Below are 16,136 nucleotides of genomic sequence, written 5' to 3'. Positions count from 1 at the left end.
GCCACTAGAAAGCATAGGTCCCCCTCGCATGCAGGTCCACCCCAGGTCCCCCCCAGGTCACCCTCTGTACCAGGAGTCCGGCTCCCCTGTTGTCCCCTGTACAACCAGACTCATTCCCTTTGCTCATGCCCTTCCCCTTCAAGGAATGCTCTCCGACTGGAAAAAGCCTAACAGACGGCAGGTACAAAACTGGTGAAATTATAATCCTGGGCTTTGATGCATTTTATTACTTTTGCTATTACAGGCATAGTCCTACGTCCCTAGCTGTGCTAATAGATCACATTTTAAAGTAACAGAATAGTCACCTGTGAAACCACCACCCAGCCTGAAAGCTGGGCCTTAGCAAGAGCTGACATCAGCTGTGTGGCCTACCCCATCCCATTCCCTCCCTAGTGCTTCCCTGGGCTGCAGGGAGCTATCCCAAGATAGCTGTCACCCCGAATCCTGTGTGCCTCCTTTCTGTGTTTTCCTTTTTTTTTTGAGACAGGATCTTTCTCTATTACCCAGGCTGGAGTGCAGTGGCACGATCACAGCTCACTGCAGCCTTGACCTTCCAGGCTCAAGCAATCCTCTCGCTTCAGCCTCCTAAGTAGCTGGGACTTCAGGCACATGCCAGCACACCTGGCTAATTTTTGTATTTTTTGTAGAGACGAGGTTTCGCTATATTGTCCAGGGTGGTCTTGAACTCCTGGGCTCAAGTGATCTAACTGCCTCGGCCTACCTAAGTGCTGGGATTCCAGGCATGAGCCACAGCTCCTGGCCTATTTTCCTATCCTGTCCTCTCATCTTACCTATTCCTTGGAGTCCTAAAATGTGTATATTATATTTGACATCTCTTTGCCTTCTTTGAGAGGGTGTCATGCTGTTTGTACTCTTTTGGGACTTACTTTTCTCACTTAGTAGTAAGTTGATAAGCATTGTCCATATTGCTAGGGTGGCCGTAATTCCTCTCTTTGGACGCTGTCTGATACTCCATGGTGTGAACACACCTGTTTATCCATTCTTCTGTTGGTGGGCGTTTGAACAGTCCTGCTGTGAATATTTTTGTGTAAGAGTTTTCTGAAGTGTATACCTACGAGTGGAATTGCTGGGTGGTGGTGTACAGGAATGTACCCCTGGGGGTTGTTCAGCTATTTTCCTGAGTGGGTGACTCATTTACACTCCCACGGCCAACAGGTAGACAACCTACACACCCACCTCTTCCCCAGCACACAGCATCATCAGCCTTCTCCATTTGTGCCACTATAGTGAGGATAAAGTGGCATCTAACTGTGTCCTCTTCCACTCCCAGCACATCTGTGCTGCAAGACCCAGTTCATGAATGACCTTGCCCAAGAAGCCCTCGGTGACCAGCACACCTGTTGCCACTCACTGTTGGATGTTTTCTGCTACCTCCCCATGGGGTTCTTCACTTCTTAACATCACAGGACATCACATTTTTTTTTCTAACTCTACCATTGGATGCAAGCACAGTGTGTTGTACATAGTAGATCCTCCAATCTATCATTGCTGTTTGAATAAGGCAGAATTCTTGTTTATACAGATCAAGGAAGTCACTCGCCATCTGTGAGGGAGGCAGCGGAGCCCCAGAGGCACTGGGGAGAGGCAGCTGGGCCTCGAGCTTGTGGTTGCAGATTGGAGCTGGCCAGGTGAGACCCTAATTAGCCACTCTCTGAAGGCCTCACAGCCGCAGCTGTTTGGAGTGACTGCTCCCGGCAGGCCGGGAGCCAGGCCTCTGGGGTCTGAGCAGTGTCACGGGTCAGCTAATGTTTTGCCCAGAAGGCACAGACTTTGTCTTCTGTCTGGAGGGGATGAAATCACCGGCTCATTATGAGGCCTGCTCCGGTCACAGCACCATCTTCACAGGCAGCAAGGAACTCTAGCCTCAGCTCTCACACATTGGAAGCTCTTGCAGTGAGTGCCAGTCTGTGACTACAGGCATACAGCACCACCCCACATGCCAAGACACCCCATGTGCCATGTGCCAGGCAAGATAGGGGCTGCAGTAGCCTGCCAGCATGGGGTCCGGGGACTTGGGCAGGGGTGCAGGGCACTACTGCTTATTAAAGCCTGCCTGGCGAGGGCTTTGCCTCTCAGGAGAAAGCTGGAGACTCGAGGGAGACAAGGACTTGGCCAGAAGGCCTGAGCCCCACCCTGCTGCTTGCCCCGGTTAACTGGAGGCTTTTTGTCAAGTGCTTCCGCCTTCCACTGGAGGCCGAGGGAGCTGCCCCACTGTGGGCTCAGGTCCAGAGCACGTGACAGAAAACAGGTGGGGAGAAGGAGAGGGGCCCTTCAGATTTTGCTCCTCTAAACCTGTGTTCCGCCGTGTGAGTCACTGGCCGGTCTCCTGCCCTGGCCTGTTTTCCGTGGCTCCCTGCAGCCCAGGGAAGCACTAACAAGCATCCCCCTAACCATGGTCCAAGGCCCTGCTATTGATCTAAGCAGTGATCCCTTCCCTTGCCACAGGTCTGTGCATTTTCAAGGTGTGTTTCCATCCAATATTCCACTTCATCTGCCCTATGTTTGTTCATCACAAGCTTCCTTATGGGTTCCCTGTTTGTGCTACTTCTGCTGGAGTTCATTTCTTGACCTCTGACGCAATTCTCCTCCTTGGGCCCATCCTTCTTCCTGTCCTGAGGACAGGCATCGTGGCAAGTCAGCCAGGGGGTGCCTAGACTATTTTCCATGCAAAGCGAAGGGACTTCATGTCCCAACAACGCAGAAGAGGCTGAAGTTATATGCACACAGTGGACACCTGTTATGCGGTTATCTGCTCAATCTATTCTAGGTGCTCCTGAATGCTTTCATCCATTTAAGGAACATTTACGGCACTGTGAGAGAGGATGCCAAGGATACCAAGAGACCTGCCAAGGATACCAAGGATGCCAAGAGATCTGATGCATAGTCTTACCCTCAATGGGCTTACAAAGTACTGGGGGGAGACTCCGATCCGGCCGCTGCCATGTTGGCCACCAAGGGTATGGGTTTGGTGGCCTCTGAGCAAAATGCCTGCCTTTGGCAGGGAGACGGACCTAGCTCTGCTGCTGACCAGCAGTGTGGCATTGGCCAACCATCCTAAACTTCTTGCATCCTTATCCATAAAGGGCAACACGAGAGCTATCATTTACCACCTGCCTGCAGGGTTTCAGCTGTTTCACAGTCATTACTATAGGGAATTCTCACAACACACTGAAGCCAGTATTATTTCCATTTAACAGACGGGAAAACTGAAGCTCCAGTAAGCAAGTAGCTTGCCCCGTTCACTCAGTAAGTGGCTGAGGACAGAACTAAATCCAGCAATGTTTGGCTTCTAAACCCGAGTTCTTTCCATTCCTGGATTCTGCCTCACAGGCCTGTTGTGAAGATTAAATGAGATTTTTAACGCAAAATGCCCAGAACAAAGGCTGGATGGCAGCAGTGTCCTGGTGAGAAGTAGCTACTGTGATCCTGAAGGGTGTCCTCCCTCCACCCATCGCTCCCCCCACAGCACCACGCACCTCCCACGTGAAACATGGGGGCTGGTTTTCTCCTTGCAGTAATTAACACATGTGCCAGTGTGTTTATGGAAAATAGCTCACTCTGTGTCTTTCATCTCTAAGAACCCAATCATGTTTGGCAAGCAGACTCCCAGATGCAAGGCCAGGTTCTCTCAGCTAAACAAAGGAGAGGAAATTATGCAGGAAATTCTGACAAAGAAAGCAATTACTCTGGTCTGACATCCATGGGCTACTCGTGCCAACACGGGGCCTTTTTGTCTAAATTACCTGGGGATGTGTCTGCATGCACCCAGGCACGCTCAGTTATTTTTCTGACTGGCTCTTTCACCAGGTGGGTGTCCGTCTGCCATCACCCTCCTCCCGCACACCTGGGGCAGCAGGTACCTGGGGGGTCAGGCCTGAGCCGGGTGGGCAGCTTCAGTTCCCCTGTAAGGGCACACGGCTGTCTGGGGAAGTGGGGAAATATCTAGAGCCCCTCCTCATCCCCAAAACTTCTGTGGTTGTGCCAGCGGTGGGGTCTCTCTCCTTTCCTTTCCTGAAGTCTTTTTCCCTGCTGTGGTTCTCCTGGCTCTTCCGACCACCCCAGGTGCCCACCTGTCCTGGTGGGCCATTAATCCCTCCTGGGGATGATCTGGCTGGGACATTTCAGTAACGATAATGCCGCTTACGTCTCTGCAACACTTGGCGTTCACATCCATTATCTCATCTAATCTGCACGACAGCACGTGAGACAGGCATTAGCGTTGCCATTTTAGGTGGAAAAAATGAGAAAGAAAGAGAATGAGTTTATCCAGGTCACCAGGCCGGTAAGGGCAGAGCCAGCACCCACACAAGGAGGAAACCCAGGGCTAGGCTGCCTGGCTCCTGGGCTGGTTCTCCCTCCACCACCGTGTCCTAGACTACTTGAGAAAGCATCGAAGACCCGTGAAGGAGTGAATTTTTAGTGGAGGAATTTCCGGCCCCCATGAGAAGACATGGGGAGTTGGTTTTGGATGTGTGAGTCCTTCCAGAAACTTATCAAATTATACCTCCCAGGCAGCTGCCTTCTTACGGGGTGGAGCTGGGCGGGGCACAGGTCTCATCTCCCCAAACAAGATACCATCCCCTTGCAGGGCTTTGGAATCTGGGCAGTATTTGGAGATGCAGATAGAAATCCACATGAGCTGGATGCACATCCTGACAACAGCAATCTTGTTTGACATCTTCCAGGGCAGAGATGCTGTGCTGAGATGGAAGCGGTGGCAGCTGAAACCTGGATAATTAGAGCCGGCCGAACACCTTTTGACAAGGATCATAAAGACTTTTGCAAACATTAATTAATGTCCCCACCCGGTGAAGAAAGAGCAACTTATTTTCCAAGTGCATCAAGGGAAGGCCTAGGCAATAAGGTGGTGGCTTCACTCCCCACCACACCCCGAGTCAGCCTCCCTTCGCTTCTCACAGCCACCCCAAAGCGGCCCGAGTCACCCAGTGAGCCTCTCGGCCTTGAGCTGTGCTGTCCGGCTGCTGCTCCCGTCCGTCTTCCACACTCGGGAGAGATTTCAGTCCCAGCTTGCCTCTTTGTAGAGACCCTGGGGACAAATGTATAGGGTTGGGCTGCTTGTCTCCGTACCCCTTTCCTTTATTTATTTATTTAGAGACAGAGTCTCGCTCTGTTGCCCAGGCTGGAGTGCAATGGCACGATCTCGGCTCACTGCAACCTCTGCCTCCCGGGTTCAAGTGATTCTCGTGTCTCAGCCTCCCGAGTAGCTGGGATTACAAGTGTACACCATCAGGCCTGGCTAATTTTTGTATTTTTAGTAGAGATGGGGTTTCACCATGTTGGCCAGGCTGGTCTCGAACTCCTGACCTCAGGTGATCCACCCACCTCGGCCCCACAAAGTGCTGGGATTACAGGCGTGCGCCATCGCGCCCGGCCCCCTTTCCTTTTATTTGTTTCCTTCTGCAGTCACTGGTGGAGAATTTACCCCATCCACTCACCTGGGTGCTGGAAACGGTGAGGGCTTGGTGATGTAATAGGGTTCGTGTGGTTTTACCGCCAAATGAATTTCTCCTGGTCATTGTTGGGGCTCCAAGAGAATGACCTTCTTTTCCATGTCCCGCACCTCAGTCTCCTCCAAAGCTGAAGACTCTGGAATTGCGACCCATGCACTTTGTAAACTGTAAAGTGTCACATGGGTGTCAGTTTCAATTACTATTCCCCTGCTCTTATCGGAATTACTTCTCAATTCTTTGTGCTGCATACCCGTGGAATTGCGTGATGGTTTAAGACACCATAAAATAGTACACTAAAGTAAGAGAAAGACAGAAATATGAAATGACAATACTAAAGGTAAAATATTTTAGAAAGTTGCTACCTGTGCAGTGCTAAGTGACTCGCTGCCTGGAGGGCTTCTTGTGACATACCTGTATTTAGGTTTCGTGACTTGTCATTTGTTCACTCCTTCCACAAGCGTTTGTTGAGTGTTGCGAGGGGCGGGGCAGAGTCAGGCCCCAGGGTAGGGTAGTCAGACCCAGAACAGGCCACTCAGCCTCAGTAGACAGAGAGACCAGGGGTTACCTGTGGTCAATCAGGGAGGGGACAGGCGCTGTCTTCCCTCTCCCTATTTTCTAAATTAGTGCATCCACTTCCTGTGGCTTTTCCACCTCGCTCCCGTGAGTTTAAATGTGCTGAAAGCTCAGGCCCGGTCTCTAATTTTCAGGTCCTGATGGATTTTCAACAATAAGCTGAAAGGCTCTTTCAGATTCCAATTTCTTAGTGAGAAAAAAAGCCAAAGCCAAACAATTCCTAAAATGGCAAAAACCAGTTCTCCCAGTGCCCCAGCGGGCCTGCTGGGCCGTTCACCTTTGCTTTCAAACATCCAGTTCCGAGGCAGACGCGAAACCCTGCACCCTCCAGCTTGGCTCCCTCAGGCCTGGACCCCCCCTGACACCCACATGAAAGAGGAAAAGAGGCGCTTCCCCATCTCTGCACAGCTCACCATCAGAGATCCGAGCTGCTCGGCCCTCTCCCCTCACCCTGGGCTCCCCTTTTTGCCCTGTTCCAAAGCTTCCCGCCTTCGATCTCATAAGGCGGCCACCTGGCCCCTCAGCCCCATGTGTGGCTTTGACCTTCACTCGCTCCTTGGTCACAGTCCCAGGCTCCATCTGGTTTGAGCTGACCTGTGTGAATGCCCCACCCAGCGAGTGGCTCGCCCAGTCATGTGTCACCCCATGCCTGCCTGCTGGGCAAGTGATACCAGCTCAAACGCGGGCAGACCTGTCTGCTTTTCTTGTGGTTCTCTCTGCTCAGCACTGGCCTGCTTCCTGTGGGCAGCATCACTCTCCTTCATGAGTGCCCATCCCTGGGCTGCTCTCACTGGACGATAGAGTGCAGGCTTCTGCTGTAACCACTGAATTCCACCTCCGTTTCCAACCGGCCGTGTTGACTATTCCCAGAAGTTTCCCCAAATGAACTCTGACCGCATCAAAGGGAGTTTACAAAACAGGGTCAAAGCTTCATACGCCTTGGGTCTTTCTTGTCACACTCAACTAAAACAGAGTCCAGAGGTTGCGGGTAAAGCGCTTGAGGCACAAGACGTTCCTTCAAGCATACGATTCTCTGCAGACCTGGCTGCTGGAACTGCCAGGTGTAACCTGAAACCAGTTTTATCTAACAGCCACTGGAACAACCTGCTGAAATCTAACACCATCACCCACAAATCAGTGTTCGCCAGCATCCCCAAAACCTTACTAGTGCCAAGGAACTTTATTTCAAAACAATACACAGCATTTCTCCTCTTCATAAAACCTCCAAACTTCTCTGTTCTTTGGACATACGAGAGGCCACCGTTCTGTGTCTATCCCCCGAACTGCAGTTGTTGCTTCCCAAATAAAACATGTTAAACTCAGAGATTTATCTCTATGTTTTATTTAACTTCAAAACGGTAATGTAGTCTTGCTGCAGCGTCAATGACACACTAGTGAAATATTAGTGTCCGTGTTTTCACAGCCTCCTTTCGATAATGATATTAGCTAGCATCTATGGATGCTTACTCCAAATCAGGCAGGGAGATATTTTACCTGCATGATATCATGGAAGTCTCATAAGAACCCTTCTGAGGGAGATTCTGTGATTATCTTTTCTTTACATGTGAGAAAACAGAGGCCTAAAGAGGTTTGGTTAATTACCCAGAATCACACTGCTTGTAAGTGAGAATGTCTGGATGCGGCCCGGGAGGTCAGCCCCTGCCGTGCTGTGGGCCACTGTCTTAATCTGTTTCATTTCCGGCACTTTTTCTCCTTGAAGTAAACTTGCTAGGCCCTGTCTTCATGGTACCCTCTACAGGGGCAATTCATCGAGGTCTTTGATGGCTTAACACCAAGTAAGAACTAGTGGGGAGTGAAAGGAGGCAGCCCCGTCCTGGGGAATTTGAGTGGCGCTGGGTAAGAGGAGGGCTTGGGAGCCCTTCAGATCCTCTGCATCAGTGACTGTCTTTCTGTTCTGCCCTCTGAAGGCTGGTAATGATTAGATTCTCTGGAAACAAACGGAGTGGCATGAATCTGGATCCTGTCTCATCTCTGACATGTATCACCTGTGGAGCATTGGAAAATTACCTCTTCACTCTGGGCCTCAGTTTTCTCATCTGCCAAATGGCATGATAATTTGTACATGGGTCATTGTAAGGATACAAATACAATACATTGTGAGAATAATACATTGTAAGGTTAAATGAGACGAACAGAGTGAGAGCGCTCAGTGGACTATAATGTACTGAGTGAATGTCACGAGGATAATTCTTTGTTATTGGGAGATTCATGTGAGGATACTGTTTAAGATGCGATCTCACGGTTGCCCCTTGCCCTTGGCATTTCTCTATGTACTTGGCACCGTTAGGAGCTGCAGGTAGGCCAGAGTGTGATCATTACCTCCCCAAAGGGAATGAGCAGAGCAGGGTAGAGGAAAATAAGGGGGGGACTTTTTTGGTTTTCAAAAGTCTAGGCCCTTTCATGGGGAACCTTCTGGGTTGAGGGAGATGCTCTGTATATTGTTCAAACTGAGTGCTTAAGATCTGTGCATTTTCTTTTTTTGAGATAGAGTCTCACTCTGTTGCCCAGGCTGGAGTACAGTGGCACAATCTCAACTCACTGCAACCTCCACCTCCCAGGTTTGAGCGATTCTCCTCCCTCAGCCTCTTGAGTAGCTAGGATTACAGGCACGTGCCACCATGCCCAGCTAATTTTTGTATTTTTAGTAGAGACAGAATGTCACTGTGTTGGCCAGGCTGATCTTGAACTCCTGACCTCAAGTGATCTGCCCGCCTCGGCCTCCCAAAGTGCTGGGATTACAGGCATGAGCCACTGCACCCAGCCGCATTTTCTTCTATATAAATGACACCTAAAAACACAAAACAAACACAGGTGTTTAGAGGAACAGAAAGGACTCAGGGCATAGGCAACATATGTAACAGAAAATGTGGGATGAGAAGATATGGTGAAGGGCAAGCCTTTCTCGCCTCCTCCCAGGCGAGGGGTTGGAGAATCAGAATGCAAGAGTGGTGCTTGCATGCTCAGGTTCTAGAGAAAACAGGCTGCGCAGCCCATTCCCCAGGCTGCGTGCCTCAGGGACGTCCCAAATCCCAAAGAAGCTTGGAGGCTCCAACCCTTAGAAGTCATGGCTTCTAGGAGAAGAAATGTTATGATATGCCCAAGTGGACTGAGCCTTTGTCCACCTCCCACCGCGCAGGAGCTGCTGAATCACGCTCCTGGGTCCGAGAGTAACACTGAGAATAACTGAGAGGACAGCGACCAGGGGAGGGCCTTGTGGACAAACTGTGTGGATGCTTGGCTGCAGGTCAGGCGGGACAGCGGAAGTTTCTGTTAATAACACAAGTTGAAACTAGCATGTGAAGATGACGGTGAAGATGAGACGTCCCCTTTCCCAAAGCTCAGAACTATGTAATGCTTGCCACCATCACCCTGCCCCTGGAACTTACCTAGAACCCCAGAGAAAAGAAGACAGGGGAACTCCAATATGACTGAGATTAGTAGTGAATGCCCCAGGAGAGGGAGCTAGTAATATAGAAAAATAAAGTCATATTTTTTGCATAGTTATTTTTATTATTATTTTTTTTGAGACAGGGTCTCATTCTGTTGCCCAGGCTGGAGTGCAGAGGCATGATCATGGCTTACTGCAACCTTGACCTCCTAGGCTCAAGTGATCCTCCCATCTCAGCCTCCCTAGTAGCTGGGACCACAGGTGTGCACCACCATGTCCAGCTAATTTTTTTATTTTTAGTAGAGATGGGGTCTCACTATGTTGTCCAGGCTGGTCTCCAAGTCCTAAGCTCAAGTGATTCTCCCACCTCCCAAAGTGTTGGGATTACAGGCGTAAGCCACCACACCTGGCATGCATATTCATGTTTGATTTCTGAGAGTTGCACCACTTCACAAAATTTTCTTAGCTATAGTTTCAAATCATGTAATCTACAGAGAGGGTCTCTGCAAGGTCCTAAAAGTGCTCTTAGAATGCACACAATTAATTTTAAATGGAAGCCTGAATGCTACATGAAGCGTTTTCAGAGTTAAGAAAGAGGTGTTTCCATTAAGTATGTTTGCCATCTAAAAGTCTTGGTAATGACCTTCTGTATTTCTTTGTGATACTTGCTTCAACCTAACACAATGGTTTTATAATCTAGGACTTTGAGGACTGTGTATTATTACCCTAGATTTTCTTAATTAATGGAAGTATCTTGGAACATTTGCTTCCTCTATAGGAACATCCTTTCTTTTCCTATCCCAAGCCTCTCCCAGGAACCATTGCTGAACTTGTCTTCCCTAGGGAGGGCTAATGACAGAAGATGCCTGCTGGCTGCCCACCGCAATGCCTGGGCCAGTTTCCAGCTGCCGAAGACCCTTCTTCAGCATATTATGTTGGTTGATGTCAATGTCAGGGGAACGGGGCATGTGACAGGAGAACGGTGTAGGGGCAGCCCTGGATCAACCATTAGAGAATCTTGCAAAGATCAAAAACAAACACACAAAAGGAGCCGAATCATTTAAAAGTCTTAGTCACACAAACGAAACCAACCCACAGCAAAGCAACCAAGCCGAACACCAAGGTCAGGAGCACGGCTTGTTGGTTAAAGCAGCTGCAAGTGTGGCTGTCTGTGCTCTGCCTGTGGAGAAGTCACCCACCCACTCTGAATCTGTGTTCTCCCCTTCAAAATGGACACGAATCACATCCTCCTCCTAGTGTGATTACAAGGGTTAAATGAGGAAAGCACTTTGTGTCTAGAATTACTTAAGGGAGGAAGACATTTTGTGTCTAAAACTACTTAAGGATGTAAGGAGAATACCAAGAGCCAGACCAGATTTGTTTTCTGTGATTTTAGGGGTGTTAAGCCCCTTCCCTTCAGGTGTCAGTTAACCCTTTAGAAGTCCCTCTGGGGGGGAGATATTTTGGGGGTAGCCATTCCAACTGCTTTGGAAAATCTGGTCTTCAAGTGTTTCATTTATATGGAAAAGGGGATCTTATTTCTAAATATCTTCAAGCTTCTGGCTTTTGTTCTCATCCATTCATTCAACACACATTCTCTCACCGGTCTGGGACCACGGAGCCTCCATTTGTTAAACTATCCCTGTCCCAGACTCTGAAACCCACTGAGTCCTCAACAAGAGGTGTATAGGGAGGCCCAGGCCAGCCCTGCTCAGTGTCAGCGCCCTTGAAGGGCCAGAGATCTGGCCCACGCTCCAGTCCAGGAGGCCAGCACTGCCCACGCCGGTCGGGAGGTGACTACATACAAATTCTGACCGGCAACATCACGAAGCACAAAGTGGGGACGCCAGGGTCAGCTTTAGAGCCCTCGGCTGTGCTTGGGGCCAGAGCCAAGAAAGCAAAGGACCTACTGCTGGGTGTGGGGAGGAGAGGGAAGGTGCCTGCACTGAGCACAGACCCCCTGGTCAGCTGCAGGTGTGCCATGTGGGAGAGGGTCAGCCTCGCCCAGACACAGAGGTTTGGGGCCCACCCTCAGTGGGGAGTCTTGCAACTGATCCTCCTTTGACCTTGACACTGTACTTCTCCAAGAACTGGCTTGTGATGGTCCTACTGCTCCCCCAAAGGGCTGCCTGTTCGGTCCCTGGGTCCCTCTTTTCCCTGTGCCTTTCCTGATACTGGTGTATGTGCCCAGAAACCTGTCAGCTACCATCGGCCTTATCCCTGTTTGGACAAATTCCCAGGATCCTGGTTTTGTTCTGACTAATGAGACTTATGTCTTGCCCCCTGTGGACAGATTTCCAGGCTTCAGATCCTCTGGTGAGTCCCTGCCTCCTGGACCCACCATCAGGGTTGTCCTGGGCTCACAGTTCCACCATCCCACCGCCCCACGTTTGTGGTTTATTCCTCGCACGCCCCGTTAGTCCCGTGCACAGAGCTCACTGCTCTTGCCCTTTATAACTCTGAACACAACTGTGTATCTGTGCTTATTATTCAGGTCTTTCCTACTAAACCGTCCACTTCCTGAGAACAAGGGCTAATGTCAATTCTCTTTTCTCTACTGTTGATTTCTTAGTGCCTAGTACAAAGAACATTTGTTGAATGAGTGAATGGATAATCATGAGTAAATTAATGTACATCCACCCTTATTTTCTAAAAAGTAATGGTAGGCAGCTTCCTTGCACATCTATTATTTTCCTTGATTGTTGGACAACCAAGGGTTAGAATCCTTTAAAGATGAGAGAATAGAGGCCCAGAGTGTTCATGATTCCACAGGCATAAGGCTACAAGGCATGGACTAGCCATTGTAACCCCTGCAGGCAAGTCTTGGGGGTGGGCAGACACACACACACACACACAAATACACACATCACATATACATATACACATATATATACACATACACACAAATACACACATCACATATACATATACACATATATACACATACACGCAAATACACATACACACACAAATACATCACATACATACACATACATATACACATACACAAATACATAGATATACAGACACACACACACGCACGTGTGCACGTGGAGAGGATGGAATGGGCTGGGCACGCATGCAGGCCACTGTACTATAAATAGTGGCAGTCATGACCCTCCCCACAGCTCTGGGAGATGCTTGTGGAGCAGGGAGCATTGAGCTTGACATTCTTGACATTTCGGTGTCCACAAACCATGGTGACCACGTAATCACAGTCGCAACACAGTCCCCGGGGGCTGCTGGACAGGCTGAAGTCTTGTTGGGGAAGTTTCTGGGCACTTGGAGAAGGGGCCCTGCCAGTCCCACAGCCTCCCTGGGGGCTTCCAGGCTCCCCCTGCCTCCCTGCCACCCAGTCCCCACTGAGTCTGCCAGGCCTTCCCTCCGACTGATCACCAAAAGGCCGTTTTCCATATCTGCGTCTCACGCAGCTGTGCAGGTAGAATACCAACAAGAACCCCGCTCCTTCAGGGATAATGGGAAAGTTCATGTGGCTTAAGTCGCTCTCCCTGGCCTGCTCGCCCTCCGAGAAGAGGGCGTGGGTGGTCTTTAGCTCCTGGCACTCCGGCTCCGCTGAGCCCCTGCCCCCACCCCTGCTGGCACAGCTGGCCCTGCAGCAGCCCCTGCCACTGCGCCCCCACCCTCCCGCTCCACACCCGGCTTCTGAGCCTGCTCAGAGCCCTCGGCTTTGGTGTCTGTTGCCACCCTCCCCGCCCTTGACCTGAAGACCCTCTCAGTCAGAGTAGCAGGGTCATCCTTGGGGAGGCAGTGGGAGGTCATCTCCGTGTGCCTGTCCTGGCCCAAGTGTCACCTGCTTGGGCACTTTCTGGGCATATCAGAGCCGCCTCAGCACGTTCAGCAGCCCGGGCTGAGTGACGGGTCCCTTGCCTGTGGTGTTTGGTGGCATCTCTGATGACATCTCATAGCGCCCTTGTTGTCTGTGAGGAGTGAGAAGCCAGCTCCTGGGGGGAGCCAAGGGATCTGGGGGAGCCGGCCTGACCGGCCTGCCTGGACCATTCCCTTCCCACAGCCCTGTGGCTGTGCGGGGGCCCCCTGGGGCAGGCCACTGAGCGGAACTCCAGGAGGGAGCGATGGCTCTGATGGGACCCCAGATGGAGGAGACCACTGTGGGGCCGGGTATGTGTCTGCCTGTGCCACCAAGGGAAAACCCTGCCTCTCTGCGGGCCGCAGCTGATTCCTCAGTGTGGAGAGGCCCTGGCCCAGACACCTCTCTGATCCCCTCCCTTGGCGATGTTAACCTGATTTGCTCTGTTCCCACAAGGCGAGTCTCCCAGGAAATGGGGGAGACCAGCAGTGTGTCTGGCCTCTCTGCCACTTCCTTCTGAGTTCCTTCTCCTCCCCTCCCTCACTTCAGAGGTCACTCTCTAGGGATCTGACCCTGAGGCCTGAGCACCCCTTTATCATCGCGCAGAGCTACTGGCACCGTGAGGGTGGGCCCTGCCCAACCAGCAAGCAGGCCCCGGGGTGGTTCTGAGGCCCTGGTCGGGCCTCCTGTGGGGCTGGCTGGGCCCCTCAGGCCCCTCTGGACGGGGCGGGCCTGCTTAGGAGATGCGTGCCCCGCCCCCCATCAGCTTCCTCCTCTTTCTTGCCCCTTGAGCTTCTCCACAGGGTGGGGGCAGCAGAGGCCATGCGCTTCCCGGGCTCAATGAGCTGTGGGCTTTTTGGAGACTGTTTGTTATTTCGCTTCCTGGCGGTTCTGCCAAGCGCCCTCCGGCCTCCGGCGCCGCCAGGCAGGTTCATCTAAGGATTCTGAACGCTGCTGCCGCCCTCTCCGGAATATCAAGCAGGCCTGGGCGGCCGCAGGGAGCACTTCCCGATCTCTCAGCTGTCAGCCCGACAGGGGCAGGGTGGTGGCAGGGGTGGTGGCAGGGGTGGTGGCAGGGGTGGTGGTGTGTGTGTATGTGGAGGACCCGGGGGCAGGGGCACTGGCGCTTCCCAAACCCAAATCCAGACCACGTCAGGGCAGCATTAGGGCTACAGGCGTGGGCTGGATTCTGTCTACTTGCATGGTTTCAGCCTGCAGAGTTTAAAAAGGCATGAATGACAAGAATAACAGGCAGAAGTGTTCATTCTCGGGGAATGGGCAGTTCCACCTACGGGCCCACCTGTCTCCATCCACCAGAGGCTCGGGGAGAGCTGTGCACACGGCACCGGCCAGCGCCAGCGTCCTTCCTGCCCCACTCCCCTAACTGCAGAGAAGGATATCCAAGTTCCCAAAGCAGCTGCGTTTCTCTGACGTTTCCCAACGTAGCTTTAGGATCTGTGCAGAGTCTGCATCCTACTCTTGAACGTACCCATGTTTGCTATTCTATAGAAGGACTGTTTTCAGTCACCGACTGACCAGTTAAGGTACTGGTTTCACCTCAAATCTTTGAGTGAAGTTAACCCCTCAGGAAGATACACATCCACTCTCTGGCCTGGCTCCCCAAATCCGCAGGGCACATAGGTACCTTCGTTTGAGAAGCAAGAGAAGAACATATATTATTATTACTATTATTTTTTGAGACAGGGTCTCACTCTGTTGGCCAGGCTGGAGTGCAGTGGCACAATCTCAGCTCATTGCAACCTCCGCCTCCCGGGCTCAAGCAATTCTCTTGCCTCAGCCTCTCGAGTAGCTGGGATTACAGGCATGCGCCACCATGCCCAGCTAATTTTTGTATTTTTAGTAGAAACGGGGTTTCACCATGTTGGCCAGGCTGGTCTCGAACTCCTGACCTCAGGTAATCTGCCCACCTCAGCCTCCCAATGTGCTGGGATTACAGGCGTTAGCCACTGTGCCTGGCTAGTATTATTTTCTTTAGAAGGCTCAAGAATCATCATATTCCACTATATCATTATTCATACCGACTTGCTGTACAAATTTGTATGTACCACCAAGCCTCCAGTGCATCCTTTTCTCCTGCTGCTGTGGGACTCTGCACCATTGGTTTTCAATGTATAGCTGAAGGTTTGGAGCATGAGTGTGAATTCTCCCATGAGGAGGCCTGCTTTCAGCAAGTGTTAGTTCTGTGCACACCAGAGCAGGAATGAGAGATTTAAGGAGATGGTTCAGGGTTTGGACTACATGCCCTGAGTTGGAGGGGCAGACCTCCAACTCTCACAAAGGAGGACTTCAGGGTCACAGAGAACTGCCAAGAGTGCTGGCAGGTCAGGAGCCCCGCCTGCTGGGTAGCCGCGCACTTCTGCAGCTCCACAGCAGGAGCCAAGCATCCCGTCAGGAGGAAGCCAGCGGAGCCTGGGTTGCTTGAGCTGCTCTAGTTCTGAGACCCTGCTCTGGCACCGCGCAGCTCCGAACGTCACCGATCCACATGATGTGTGTGGAGGGTTCTAGCCAGGGTCTTAGCGCTCAGTAAGTATGTGGTCAACCCGAGCCTGAATCCAGTAGTCAGGTGACTGTGGTGGGCGTGAGGTGGGAAGAAGGGTTGGGCTTCGTTTCAATGACTACTCAACTGGCAGTTGCACAGAGTCACTGCTGGGAAGTCAAGCCCACCAAGATGCAGGTGGTGGGCACACGACAGTGTGGGCAGACGCAGGGGCATGAGGTCCTGGCACACTGGCTCATGTGGCAGGGTGCAGACGGTCAGGCGGATATGGGGGAGAGGAGGCTGGGTGGGGGCAGGGGCAGGAGCTGGGCCGTGGAG

At 51.5% G+C, this 16,136-nt stretch overlaps 1 long non-coding RNA gene across 5 annotated transcripts, besides 1 other annotated feature; it reads right to left on the bottom strand.

The window, feature by feature from the left end:
• Positions 1 to 204: 204 nt before the first annotated feature.
• LOC105373414 (uncharacterized) lies at positions 205 to 7,480 on the bottom strand. 5 transcript variants are annotated; one of them, NR_187861.1, is made up of 6 exons: positions 5,904 to 7,480; positions 5,478 to 5,785; positions 4,526 to 5,068; positions 4,092 to 4,208; positions 3,498 to 3,653; positions 205 to 3,353 (listed from the first exon to the last, which is right to left on the bottom strand). It is a non-coding gene; the product is annotated as an uncharacterized LOC105373414 (long non-coding RNA). The 5 variants fall into 5 exon arrangements; NR_187858.1 differs by having other exon boundaries at positions 205 to 5,068; positions 5,478 to 5,657; positions 5,904 to 6,057; positions 6,757 to 7,480; NR_187857.1 differs by having other exon boundaries at positions 205 to 5,068.
• Positions 4,411 to 5,610: an enhancer, noted in NCBI's record as "BRD4-independent group 4 enhancer chr2:9244583-9245782 (GRCh37/hg19 assembly coordinates)". NCBI's record gives its function as "activates an origin of replication core promoter dependent on BRD2, P300/CBP, MED14 and CDK7 cofactors, and independent of BRD4, by STARR-seq in HCT116 cells {active_cell/tissue: HCT116}" and the evidence as "EXISTENCE:reporter gene assay evidence [ECO:0000049][PMID:35650434]".
• Positions 7,481 to 16,136: the final 8,656 nt, after the last annotated feature.

The sequence above is a fragment of the Homo sapiens genome, chromosome 2 (genome assembly GCF_000001405.40).
Source record: "Homo sapiens chromosome 2, GRCh38.p14 Primary Assembly".
NCBI classification, from domain to species: domain Eukaryota; kingdom Metazoa; phylum Chordata; class Mammalia; order Primates; family Hominidae; genus Homo; species Homo sapiens.
The sequence above is the reverse complement of the archived record's forward strand: the minus strand, read 5'-3'. Positions and strand labels throughout refer to the sequence as shown.